At 43.4% G+C, this 14,305-nt stretch overlaps 1 protein-coding gene across 1 annotated transcript in view; it reads right to left on the minus strand.

Annotated features, from left to right (window-relative positions):
• Positions 1-6,157: 6,157 nt before the first annotated feature.
• Positions 6,158-14,305, minus strand: part of TXNDC12 (thioredoxin domain containing 12) — a 36,041-nt gene continuing 27,893 nt past the window's right edge. The window contains exons 4-7 of the mRNA NM_015913.4: positions 13,302-13,375; positions 10,537-10,606; positions 9,518-9,601; positions 6,158-7,039 (exon numbers count right to left, since the gene is read on the minus strand). Of these exons, the coding sequence (NP_056997.1) occupies positions 6,960-7,039; positions 9,518-9,601; positions 10,537-10,606; positions 13,302-13,375 (308 nt within the window). The 3' untranslated portion in view covers positions 6,158-6,959. The remainder of the gene's footprint in view (positions 7,040-9,517; positions 9,602-10,536; positions 10,607-13,301; positions 13,376-14,305) is intronic.

Consider the following 14,305-nt stretch of genomic DNA (forward strand, 5'->3'; position numbering starts at 1 on the left):
CTGGGATTTGTGGGTTACATAGTAAGTGTATATTTAGCTTTATTAAATATTGCAAACTGTTTCCAAAGTAGTACCATTTTACACTCTTAGTAGCAATATATAAGAGTTCCAGTTGTCCCACATCCTCTCTGACACTTAGTATCATCAGTTTTTTCTTAATTTTAGCAATTCTGGCAGTTGGGAAATGGTATCTCATCATAGTTTTAATCTGAATTTCTCTGATACCTAATAGTCACACATTTTCATGTGCTTTTTGGCCATTCATATGTCTTCTTTTGGGAAATGTCTGTTCAAGTCTTTGCCCAGAAGCAACATTGTAACTCTATTCTTCATTTTCCAATGCAAATAAATACGTTAACATAACTCCCTATGACAACTATTTTAGTTCCAAATTCTAATCCTAAAATGTTCCAAATTTTAATCCTAAAATATTCCAAATTCTAATTCAAGATATTCCAAATTCCAGTTCTAAGAGGTGAAGGCTTGTCATGAATTTCCCACCTGGATGACTTCAAAACTTTACCAATGCTCCTCAGAACTCTTCCTCAGGAGAAGTGCCTTCTTTAATAATACTTGAGGATTGGAGGAAGCAAAATTTCATCACTGCCAGTTTATTATGTCTAAATTCAAAATATCATCAAACTGTGCAAACTGTCCCATTGCTCATGTCAGGTTTTGCTCTTCACAGAACCATGTTTGGACAGAACTATGTACAAGACAAAAAGCCTCTAATCAAGAAAGTTTAGTCACATTTTATTTTATTTTATTTTATTTTATTTTATTTTATTTTGAGACAGGGTCTCGCTCTGTTGTCCAGGCTGGAGTGCAGTGGCGCAATCTTGGCTCACTGCAACCCCGCTTCCCAGGTTCAAGCGATTCTCCTAAGTCAGCCTCCCAAGTAGCTGGGATTACAGGCACACGCCACCATGCCCAGCTAATTTTTGAATTTTTAGTAGAGGTGGGGTTTCACCATGTTGGCCAGGCTGGTCTCTAATTCCTTACCTCAGGTGCTCCTCCCACCTTGACCTCCCAAAGTGCTGGGATTACAGGCATGAGCCACCTCACTGGGCCGCTTAGTCCCATTTTAGGTTTCCTTTGTTTGGCTTTTACAAAATAGGACAATGTAACATATTAAAATTCAGGGTGAGTAAGAGGTATGCCTTTTTTTCCCCATAGGATGGGGAAAGGTGAATAGTGACAAAGAAGGTGGGAATGAACTATCTTGATCAGTGATCCCCAACCTTTTGGGCACCAGGGACCAGTTTTGTGAAAGAGTTTTTCCATGGACTGAGGCAGCAGGGTTGGTTTTGGGATGAAACTGCTCCACCTCAGATCATCAAGCATTAGTTAGATTCTCATAAGGAGCACACAACCTAGATCCCTTGCAGGCACAGTTGACAGTAGGATTCGCTTTCCTATGAGAATCTAATGCCGCCACTGATCTGACAGAAGGCAGAGCTTGGGCAGTAATGCTTGCTTGCCCACCACTCACCTCCTGCTGTGTGGCCCAGTTCCTAACAGGCCATGGACAGGTACCAGCATGCAGCCCAGGGTCTGGGGACTCTTGATCTTGCTGACATTTCCTGGGAAATCACCTTTATTATGGTGAAATATGCATAAAATTTACTGTTGTAACCATTTCTAAATGTACAGTTCAGTGGTGTTAAGTACATTCACATTATTTGGCGACCATCACCACCATCCCTTTCCAGAAATTTTTCATTTTCCAAAACTGAAACTCTGTATCCATTAAACACTAACTCCCCATTCACCCTCCCACCAACCCCTAGCAACCACCATTCTACTTTCTGTCTCTAGGAATTTGACTATTTTAGGTAGCTCATGTCGGTGGAATCATATAATATTTGTTCTTTTGTGCTTGACTTATTTCACTTGGAACATCTTTAAGGTTCATCCATGTTGTAGCACATGTCAGAATTTCCTTTCTTTTTAAGGCTAATAATATTTCGTTGCATGTACAAACCACATTTTTATTTTTATTTATTTTTTATTGAGACGGGTTTTCACTATGTTGCCCAGGCTGATCTGGAACTCCTGGGCTCAAGCGATCCTCTCTTCAGCCTCCCAAAGTGCTGGGATTACAGGCGTGAGCCACCTTGCCCAGTCTGTACATAACACCTTTTGTTTACCAATTCATTTCTCAGTGGCCACTTGGTTTACTTCCACTTTTTGGCTGATGCGAATAATGCTGCTATGAACACAGGTTTTACAAATAATCTGTTCAAGATTCTGTTTTCAGTTCTTCCGGGTATATACCTAGAGGGGGAATTGCTTAATCACATGATAATTTTAATTTTTTGAGGAATCCTAGGAAATCAGTTTTAGGAAGATGAAGATCTAGAAAAAAATTCACTAAAGTTTCTATGTCCATGTATTCCATGTAAAGTCTTTATGTACCCCAGATTGAAAACTCCTGGGCTGAGTGCGGTGGCTCACACCAGTAATCCCAGCACTTTAGGAGGCCAAGGTGGGTGGATCACCTGAGGTCAGGAGCAAGACCAGCCTGGCCAACATGGTGAAACCCTGTCTCTACTAAAAATACAAAAATTATCCAGGTGTAGTGGCACATGCCTATAATCCCAGCTACTCAGGAGGCTGAGGCAAGAGAACTGCCTGATCCCAGGAGGCAGAGGTTGCAGTGAGCTGAGATCACACCAGTGCACTCCAGCCTGGGTGACAGTGTAAGACTTCGTCTCAAAAAAAAAAAAAGAAAAGAAAAAAGAAAAAGAAAACTCCTATACCCCGGCCTGGGCAACATGGTGAAACCCCATCTCTACAAAAAATTAAAAAATTAGCTGGGCATGGTGGCTGGTACCTGTGGGCCTAGCTATTTAGGAGGCTGAGATGGGAGGATTGCTTGAGCTTGGGAGGTGGAGGTTGCAGTAAGCCAAGATTGCACCCCTGCCCTCCAGCCTGGGTGACAGGGCAAGATCCCATCTAAAAAAAATAAAAAATAAAAAATAAAAAATGCCAGGCGCAGTGGCACACACCTGTAATCCCAGCACTTCGGGAGGCCGAAGCGGGTGGATCACTTGAGGTCAGGAGTTCAAGATCAGCCTGGACAACATGGTGAAACCCCATCCCTACAAAAAATACAAAAATTAGCCGGGTGTGGTGGCACACACCTATAATCCCAGGTAATGGGGAGGCTGAGGAACAAGAATTGCTTGAACCCAGGAGGCGGAGGTTGCAGTGAGGCGAGATCGCACCACTGCACGCACTCCATCCTGGGCGACAGAGCGATACTCTGTCTCAAAAAAAAAAAAGAAAAAAAGAAAACAGAAAGAAAGAAAAAGAAAGAAGGGAAGGAAAGAGGGAAGGAAGGAAGGAAGGAAGGAAAAGCAAAACAAAGCAAAGCAAGGCTGGGCATGGTGGCTCAAGCCTGTAATCCCAGCACTTTGGGAGGCCGAGACAGGCGGATCACCTGAGGTCAGGAGTTTGAGACCAGCCTGGCCAACATGGTGAAACCCCGTCTCTACTTAAAATACAAAAAATTAGCTGGGTGTGGTGGTATGCACCTGTAATCCCAGGTACTCGGGAGGCTGAGGCAGGAGAATCGCTTGAACCTGGGAGGTGGAGGTTGCAGTGAGCCGAGATCGCACCATTGCACTCCAGACTGGGGGACAAGAGCGAGACTTCATCTCAAAAAAAAAAAAAAGGAAAGAAAGAAAAAATAAAACTCGTTCCAATGAGACACCTCAGGACATAAAGGAAGTAATGTGGTTGGAAAATCATGAATATGGAATCAGACAACGCTGGTTAGAATCCAGTATTTACTTAGTTTAGAACCTGAAGTCTGCTGAGCTTGGTGGCTCACACCTATAATCCCAGCATTTTGGGAGGCTGATGGAGGTGGATCACCTAAAGGTCAGGAGTTTGACACCAGCCTGGCCACCATGGTCTTTACTAAAACCCCATCTTTACTAAAAATACAAAAATTAGGCCGGGCACAATGGCTCATGCCTATAATCCCAGCACTTTGGGAGGCCGAGGAGGGTGGATCACCCTGAGGTCAGGAGTTCGAGACCAGTCTGGCCAACATGGCGAAATCCTGTCCCTACTAAAAGTACAAAAATTAGCTGGGCGTGGTGGGGGGGCTCCTGTAATCCCTGCTACTCAGGAGGCTGAAGCAGGAGAATAGCTTGAACCCAGGAGGCAGAGGTTACAGTGAGCCGAGATCACACCACGGGACTCCAGCCTGGGTGACAAGAGCGAGACTCCATCCCCCCCAAAAAAAAAAAAAAAAAAAAAACAAATTAGATGAGCATGGTGATGGGTGCCTGTAATCCCTGCTGCTTGGGAGGCAGAGGCAGGAGAATCGCTTGAATCCGGGAGGCATTCAATGTTGCGGTGAGCCAAGACCTCGCCATTGCACTCCAGCCTGGGCAATAAGAGCGAAACTCCGTCTCAAACAACAACAACAACAACAACAACAACAAAAGAACCTGGCTAGTCTTTGCCTTCTCTAAAGTTCCCCCTAAAATGACGTTACTAATACCTATCCCACAGGACCACTGATGGTGTTTAGAGAATGGATGAAAAGAACCTAACATAGACCTTGGCAAGTCACCTGAAAGTTTTAGATACACAGGACAGAGGACTAGCTTCTGCCCTCGAGGAGAATGGCCACCTGATGACAGCCCCAGATGTGCAATTGGGTTACTTCAATGTAAAGTGGTCCAGGGCTATGATAGATGTATTGGGGAAAGGATATTTTATCCTCATGAGAAAGATCAGGGAAGACTCTCTGGAAGAAGTGGCTCAAAATGGGTATGAAGGAAGAACAGAAAGAACATATTTTAGGCTGAGGAAACAAGATGAACGAAGATAGAAAAGCATAAAACAGCATGTTGTCAGGAGAACTCAAAGCAATTTGGTGTCACAAGAACACATAATGCAAAAACATAAATGGGAATAAATGAGGTTGAAGAAGTAGGCAGCTTCTTAAAGGCCATGGTAAAGATCTTGACTTTATCCTGTGTCTTGGCTTCCTTATGTTTCAAATTCTTCCTCTGTACTCTGGGAGTACAGTAGTACCTTTATCACAGGGCTGTTAGGAGTACTAAAGTGAAACTAAATGGGATAACATATATAAAGCACTTAGAAGAGTACTTGGCACAGACTGAGGTTCAAATATCTCCTACCATTAATACTATTATCTTAAAGATGGCTGGAAAGGTTTTTTTTTTTTTTTTTTTTTTTTTTTTTTTTGAGATGGAGTTTCACTCTTGTTGCCCAGGCTGGAGTGCAATGGCACAATCTCAGTTCACCACAACCTCCGCCTCCCGGGTTCAAGCGATTCTCCTGCCTCAGCCTCCTGAGTAGCTGGGATTACAGGCATGTGCCACCACATCCGGCTAATTTTGTTGTTTTTGTTTTGTTTTGTTTTTTTGAGACGGAGTCTCGCTCTGTCACCCAGGCTGGAGTGCAGTGGTGCGATCTCGGTTCCCTGCAAGCTCCGCCTCCCGGGTTCACGCCATTTTCCTGCTTCAGCCTCCCGAGTAACTGGGACTACAGGCGCCCACCACCGCGCCTGGCTAATTTTTTTTTTTTTTTTTGTATTTTTAGTAGAGACGGGGTTTCACCGTGGTCTCGATCTCCCGACCTCGTGATCCGCCCGCCTCGGCCTCCCAAAGTGCCGGGATTACAGGCGTGAGTCACCGCGCCCGGCCTAATTTTGTATTTTTAGTAGAGCCGGGGTTTCGCCATGTTGGCCAGGCTGGTCTCGAACTCCCTACCTCAGGTGATTCGCCCACCTTGGCCTCCCAAAGTGCTGGGAGTACAGGCGTGAGCCACTGTGTCCAGCCAGGAAAGGTTTTAAACAGGGGAGTGATATGGATCGATTGCAGGAGGAGGGAATATTAGAGCCAATAGGCAAGTTAAGGGGCTATAGCAATAAATAGTCGAAGAGAGAAAAAGCCTGCCCCGTGCTAAAACAGTGATAGTGTGGACAGAGGAAATTCAGGTATTTAAAAAGTAAAAGAGAGGAGCCATTGTGCTCATTTGAATGTGGGAGGTGAAGGAGCAGGAGTCCTAGGTTAGGACTCCTAGATTAGGTCCTCTAGGTTAGTTTTCTTCCTGAAGTGATCTCCATCCCTCCCTCCTTTTCCAATAACAAAAAGGCCATCACAGCACATTTCCTTTTAAAGTTTTATTAAAGTTTAATGGTACAATATTTTATCTCTTTTTTTGTTAATGCCAGTACAAAAATACAGTTGATGACTTGACAAAATGGCTACACCTAGGGCTTGAAGGTTTGAGTTTCTCCAACAGTAACAAGGGAAAGCATGCTTCCACCTGGAGCCGAGTCCAAGCACACAGCCAGTCCTGCACACGCATGCGTGCAAACAGGGAAGCTCAAGCATGAGAAGAGGAAAGAGGCTGTAGAAATTTGGGAAGAAGCCCACAATTATTCCCAGGAGAAAAAAGGGAAAAAACAGGCTGATATCCTTGGTAGGGGGTAGAATAACTGATTTACACTTAGGATTTATTGTTATTGTTGTTGTTGTTGTTTTTTAATGATAAGCTACTTCTGCAATTTTAACGTTGTAGAAAAGATGCTACTAGTCTCCTTTCACCACTAAGGTGAGTAAAGTGGGAGGAAATGGGAAAAGACTCAAATACTTAAGTGCGAGGAGTAAACATCCAAGTGGCTCAAGTTTTGTGTCAGAAGGTTTCATTCTTTACATTCAATGACAAGTTGACATTTAGGTGAGAGGGAAAAGGAGAAGAAAGTCTGCCACTCTCCGCTGGATCCACAAACATGCAGACCAGCTTCTGTTAGCAGAACTCTTCCACAGTGAGAGCGCTCCTTCCAGTGTAGGTAGGAATGAGGTTTCCTGGTCGGCTTAATTGTTCTAGATGATTCCTCAATATTCCCTTCCCTGCTGCTTTCCTTCCAGAACACTAACTCTGATGAAAGAAGGGGCACATTCATGTTACAATTCATCTTCAAGATGTTTCTTTCTGAAGGCATCACCCGTCAGCCTTTCCTGAGCTTCCTTCATCCCCTGAACAACTGTGAAATAAAGATTGGAGGAAAAAAGTATGAAGTAAGTAATGTTTGACATTTGACAACCAATGTACACTTTTAAATGTTTCAGAAGAAATATGAGAGGAGTACAAGATCTGGACTCAAGATCTAGCTCTGGATTTTGGCCCTGGCAAGTCATTTATCTCTTTGAATTTGTTTCCTCATTTATAAAATGAAATAATGTAACTCACTTCACACAGTATTATAAAAGTTAAATGGGAGAATGGATAATAAAAGTGCTTTATCAACTACGAAGTCATACCAAAATCTTAGCAGTTATTTTGGCTTACCCTCTAGGATTAGAGCTGATCCCCTGTCCTAGACTGTAGATGTTCACTTCACCCCCAGGGAAGAGGAAACACCTTCCTACCGTCCCCATTGTATCTTTTGGATGAATGTTGCACTTATTTTACTTCCTGTGGAGGTTACAGATTACACTGAGGGGTGTGTGTGCTGGGGCGGGGGTGTCTCTACTGAAGGGGGTCGTCATTTCCAGTATCAACTATACATGGATGAAGCCAAGTTCTCAGGCCAAAAAAAAAAAAAAAAAAAAAGAGAGAGAGAAACCTGGAAGGAGGGCCTTAAGTAGACTCGAGATGAAACTTCTTGTCTGTCTTGGGGCATCCTGCTTATGGATTTAGACTCAAGGGGGACAGCTATTTCAGTATAGGCTCCTGAATGGTGGTTCTACAAAGCACCCCTATATAATGGCAGGCCAGAAGCTGGGTTGAGCCAGAGTCTATGAATCTTGCAAAGCCAAACCATAAGCTCATAAGAGGCAGATAATACAGTTTGTTATTTCTGTTTTGTTTTGCCTATGCCTTTAGTAAAGCTGGGTTTGAATGTTCCAGTTTCATGTCAGCTGAGAGATGGAGGATTCAGGGAAGGGTCTCATGTTCACATCTGGACTATGTCAGTGTGGAGACAGCAGTGGTAACTTGGATGAAATTCTAAAGGGAAGGTGAATCTCAAGATACAAGAATTGGAGACCTAAAGCCCAGCTGCCCTTCTCCACGTGGAAAATTTCCCTTTGATACCAATCTCCAGTGATCTGCATTTGGTTAAGGAACATGACATTCTCCTTACTCAGGGGAAGAAGGTAATAGCTTCTACAGATCTCCTCCCCGTCCCTAGTCTGAGAATAAGAGTATCAAGGACTCAAATCATAAAGTGATCAACAGCCTGGCAGCATGGCAAATAGGGACACATGGCAACTTAGCACACAACTCCCTTTCATAGATGAGGGGAAAAGGAAGGAAAGCAGCAACAATACATGGCATGAATTCCAACCCCTGCCTCCAGAATGACTGTGCTCAAAGATTAGAGAACAAAAAAGCATGACTGGCTGACGATTGCAAACTTCCTTCACTTGTTTGTGCTGGTGCTCTTCTCTCTCCTGGAACATGCTTTTCCCATTCTGCTACTGACAAGGTCTTATTCTCTAAGGCTTAATCCAGTCATTATTTCTTCTAGCAAGCCTTACAAACTCTATGTTGGGCTACATTCCCCCGCCACTTCACTTCCATAGCTTGAAATGTCCTCCTCATATCTGTCCAGAGATGAAATTTTTATCCTTCTAGGTCCGTTTACGTTTCGGGGTTTTTTTGGTTTTTTTTTTTTTTTTTTTTTGAGACAGAGTCTCGCTCTGTCACCCAGGCTAGAGTGCAATGGCGCACGATCTTGGCTCACTGCAACCTCTGCCTCTCGGGTTCACGCCATTCTCCTGCCTCAGCCTCCCGAGTAGCTGGGACTACAGGCACCTGCCACCACGCCAGCTAATTTTTTGTATTTTTAGTAGAGACGGGGTTTCACCATGTTAGCCAGGATGGTCTCAATCTCCTGACCTCATGATCCTCCCGCCTCGGCCTCCCAAAGTGCTGGGATTACAGGCGTGAGCCACCACGCCCAGCCCGCTCAGCTATTTTTTGTATTTTTAGTAGAGATGGGGCTTTGCCATGTTGGCCAGGCTGGTCTTGAACTCCTGACCTCAAGTGATCTGCCTGCCTCGGCCTCCCAAAGTGCTGAGATTACAGGTATGAGCCACTGTGCTCGGCCTATTTAAGTTTAATATCTATAAAACCTCTTAGACTTGTTCACCTAACACTATTCCTCTTCCACTGAATTTTCATAGGAAAAACAGTATTAGCTCAGTAGGAAAAAAACTAAGTTCTGGACTCAAATTCTGGCTCTGCTACTTAACTATGAAACTATGGGCAAGTGACTACCTCAGTCACTTGTGTGCCTCAGTTCTTCACAGCTGCCTGTGGGTCAGTCAGCTCTTCCAAGGGAAGGGGCTCAGTCTCATCTTCCTCCTATATCCTACACAGGATCTGGCCAAAAGCTATAGACATGCAGGAGATGCTCAGCTAACATGCTGAATTTACTTTCCTATCACAGACCTTGCATGTGGTTCATCCTAGTTCAATCTAGCAATAATCCTCCCTCCCTTCAGCATAACTATACCTTGCTCGGCACTGACATAAAAATACTTGTAGCTGGGGTTTCCATTCTCATTGATGATTTCAGGATGCACCTTGCCACTGGGATCTGTTATAGACAAAATGACACAGAGTTTTGCAGTAATTACAACAGACAGGTACTTCAAACACTACCTGGTACATCGGGCCCTCTGGGAAATAAGATCTGCCCATATTTGCAGCCCATTACCTCACCATAATACCTCCTACATTTCTGCTTCCTTTTCTGCTTGATGATTTTGACTTCTATCCCCCATAAAACCTAGCAGAATTTATGCTGAACAAAGATTAGGTGGTCATTAAATATCTCTTATAAAATTATTTGTGGAAAGACATTTATCTGGTTATATTATTCCATTGCCTTAGGTGCACTATAGGTTCAAGGGTGAGAATTCTGGCTTATATCTGTCTCTGTAGTGTCTAATACAGTGCTTGACATATGGCTGATGCGCAAATGGCTATTGAAGTGAATAAATGATCAAACTCTTTTTTTTTTTTTTGAGACAGGGTCATTCAGTTTCCTTCTGTCATTCAGGCTCAAGGGCAGTGGCGTGATTATGGCTCACTGCAGCCTTGACCTCCCAGGCTCAATTGATCCTCCCGCCTCAGCCTCCTAAATAGCTGAGACTACAGGTGCGTGCCACCACACCCGGCTAATTTTTGTACTTTTTGTAGAGACGGGCTTTCACCGTGTTGCCCATGCTGGTCTCAAATTGGACTCAAGCAATTCACCCATCTCAGCCTCCCAAAGTGCTGAGACTACAGGCATGAGCCACTGTGCCCGGCCAAACTTTTGTCATTGCTTACAAAAGCAGTTAGTTAATGGGAAAAGTTTTCCTTCAGACTTGTAGTTCTAGCATTCAGAACTCCCCCACTCTCTCTTGAAACTGGTTTTTATTTGTTTGTGGTCATCCTGGTATAGTTTCACTAGGTGAAGTCAGTGCCTTGATTCATTTCTCTCTCCATCCACATCATGGATTCCCAGGTTAAGATCATGTGCCTTACCCAGAAAAAGGATTCGTGGAATATAACCCCCGTCAGGGCTGAAATCTTCATCTTTGGGTTCCTCTTCATCCTATTAAGATTAAATGTAAACCTTAAGTCAGATAACGTCCTCTCTCTCCTCAAAACCATTCAGTGGCTTCCCCACTTGTCAGGGCAAAACCCCAAGTCCTTGCAGTGGCCTATAAGGCCCTACATGATCTATCACCTAGGCACTTCTCTAACTTAATGTCCTACCCCTTGTTAAGTCCTCTTCAGCTACACTGACCTCTTGCTGTTGCTGTCATTAAACAAGCCAGGGATAATCCTAACACAGGCTTTTGGACTTGCTCTTAACTCTCTGCTGAACACACTTTCCCCATTATTATCCACATGGTTGACTCCCTTTTCTGTTTCAGACCTTTGCTCAAATATCCCTTTATTTTCAAACCATCTATTTAAAACCACAGTCATCCCTTCCACCTTTCTTTTTTAGCCCTAGCATTTACCACCATCTGACATATTCTAAAATACTTATTTTCTGTCTTCCCACACTAGCATGTTATTTCAACGAGGAAATTTTGTCTGTTTTGTTCACTGCTATATTCCTAGTACCTACATCATTGACTTGCACATAGTATTTCTTTAGTGCATGAATCAATAAGACTGGCATTTTAGTCAAAGTTGTGGACTCATAGTCCTCCCAGGAGATTAAAAACCTACACAATCAGTTTTCTTTTTTTTTTTTTTTGAGACGGAGTCTCGCTCTGTCGCCCAGGCTGGAGTGCAGTTGTGCGATCTCGGCCCACTGCAAGCTCCGCCTCCTGGGTTCATGCCATCTTCTGCCTCAGCTGCCTGAGTAGCTGGGACTACAGGTGCCCGCCACCATGCCCAGCTAATTTTTTTATATTTTTAGTAGAGACGGGGTTTCACCATGTTAGCCAGGATGGTCTCAATCTCCTGACCTTGTGATCCACCTGCCTTGGCCTCCCAAAGTGCTGGGATCACAGGCATAAGCCACCACGCCCGGCCTAATCAGTTTTCTTTTTAAGAAATTTCCAAAGTTGGAGAATCCTCTATGAAGACGTTTTTACTGTTTCCTTTGAGTAGGAATCCTAATTCACCACAGAAAGTGGTGAGGAATTCATGTGCAAAGGCAATCAATACTTTCACAATTTATGATGTGGTTCCCATTTCAGGGGTTAAATACTTCGCTATGGTGAGGTGTATCAGCATTCAGGCTATCCCCTAGCTATATAAGCAATCCCTTAGCTGCCTCACTGTTAACTGTTAATGTGTTCACAAGAGTCCCAGACCTATGTTTAAGTAAACATTATCTTTTTTTTTTTTTTTCTCTTTTTTGAGATGGAGTTTCACTCTCTCACCCAGGCTGGAGTGCAGTGGCGCGATCTCAGCTCACTGCAACCTCTGCCTCCTGGGTCAAGCGATTCTCCTGCCTCAGGCTCCCTAGTAGCTGGGACTACAGGCACGCACCACCACACCCAGCTAATTTTTTTGTATTTTTAGTAGAGACAGGGTTTCACCATATTGGCCAGGCTGGTCTTGAACTCCTGACCTCATGATCTACCCACCTCAGCCTCCCAAAGTGCTGAGATTACAGGCATGAGCCACCATGTCTGGCCCAAGTAAACATTATTTTTACAGAAACGTATGGCTAGCGGTATCATCATAGAGCATCTGAGTACCTCACATGTGAAAAGTATGGCCTGAAAGAGAGCACGGCTAGGTGAGAGTACCTATTCTTATCACTTATTAGGCTCTATGACCTTGACCAAATCACATACCTGCTTCAGGCCTAAGATGGTTCTTTCTGTAAAATGAGGATAGTACCAATAGCCTAAAAATCCCTTCCAACTCTAAGATCTGACATTCTATGACTCAGGATTCCAAGACCTGCAGCCTATATGAGGTATGTAAAAGCTATTTTCATAAGGAAACAAGCAGGTTGCACATATAAGCCCAACACAGATTAGGTGCTCAGTTGAATCACATTTTGCAGAAAGTTGTGGTCTGCATGTATGACTATACCTTTAGTCTAGCTTTACAAAGACATAAAACATGTCATAATCATAAACTAAGGATAAAAGGACCTTAAAATCTAGTCATCTTAAGGCTGGGCATGCTGGCTCACGCCTGTAATCCCAGCATTTTGGGAGGCCGAGGCAGGCAGATCACTTAAGGTCAGGGGTTTGAGACTAGCCTGGCCAACATTGTGAGACCCTCATATCTACTAAAAATACAAAAATTGGCCAAACGCGGTGGCTCACATCTGTAATCCTAGCACTTTGGGAGGCTAAGGTGGGTAGATCACCAGAGGTCAGGAGTTTGAGACCAACCTGGCCAACATGGCAAAACCCCATCTCTATTAAAAATATAAAAATTAGCCTGGTGTGGTGGTGCATGCCTGTAGTCCCAACCACTCGGGAGGCGGAGGCAGGAGAATTGATTTAACCCGGGAGGAGGAGGTTGCAGCGAGCCAGGATCGCACCACTGCACTCCAGCCTGGGCAACAGAGCCAGACTCCATATAAAAAAAAAAAAAATTTAGTCATCTTATTCAATCTCTCCTCTCCTAGTTCCTCCCAGAAATAGATGTTAGATGGCTTTCTAACATATCTGATGCAAGCCTTAGTATTAGCGGTCAAGAGAAAAACACATACATAAATTTGACTTCATACCACTAATGAAGCTGTAATGAATATGCACGAATGATACTAACTTTAAAAGTCTTAAAATCATAGCAGAAAGGAGAAACTCTCAAAGTCTTACCTCAAGATTTACCATAACAAAATTATGGGAGAGTTCTGAAATTTCCGTAGATTCTGCAAATTTGGGCTTTAGAGCTGGGGGGAAAAAGATTTTGGAATAGAAGAAAAAACATCATTGTCACAACTAAACCTTAACGAACATAAGCATCACTATTTCTCTTTGGTAGTTTAGGCATTTGTTTAGTTGATTCATATAACAAACTTTTTTTACACTCTAAAAAACAAGAATTAGGCTACCTGGATTCTGAACCTGCACAGCTATGTGACCTTGAGTGACTTACTTCATTTCTCTGAAGCTGTTACCTCATTTATAAAATAAGGATAATGGCATACGAATAGGGGGGAAAAGCATTATTTGCTTTTTATAGTTACATTTCAAAAACCATTGACATGAAAGACAATAGAGTGACAGTCTGCCACACGTGTATATGTGTGTGTATACATATATGTATGTGTGTATATATGTTATATATACATATATACATATATACGTATATATTATATGTTATATATGTTATGTATATATGTGTATATATGTTATATACACACATACATTCCTATTATTATTATTATTTTTGAGACAGAGTCTCACTCTGTCACCCAGGCTGGAGTACAATGGTACGATCTCAGCTCACTGCAACCTCCGCCTCTCGGGCTCAAGCGATTCTCAGCCTCCCGAGTAGCTAGGATTACAGGCGCGTGCCACCAAATCCAGCTACTTTTTTTGTATTTTTAGTAGAGGCGGGGTTTCACTATGTTGGGCAGGCTGGTCAACTCCTGGCCTCAAGTGATCTGCCCGGCCCAGCCTCCCAGAGTGCTGGGATTACAGGCATGAGCCACTGCGCCTGGTCTTTTATACTATTTTTTACACTCCTTTTCCATCTAGGATTTTAAGTGCAGCATACTAAATAAAAGAAAAAGCCTGTCTGGGGAAGTGGCAAGGTGGTATAGCAGAAAGAACACATGCCACAGAGTCAGATAACTTGGGTTCTAATTTGGGTCCTA

Source organism: Homo sapiens, chromosome 1 (genome assembly GCF_000001405.40).
Source record: "Homo sapiens chromosome 1, GRCh38.p14 Primary Assembly".
In the NCBI taxonomy this organism is placed as follows: domain Eukaryota; kingdom Metazoa; phylum Chordata; class Mammalia; order Primates; family Hominidae; genus Homo; species Homo sapiens.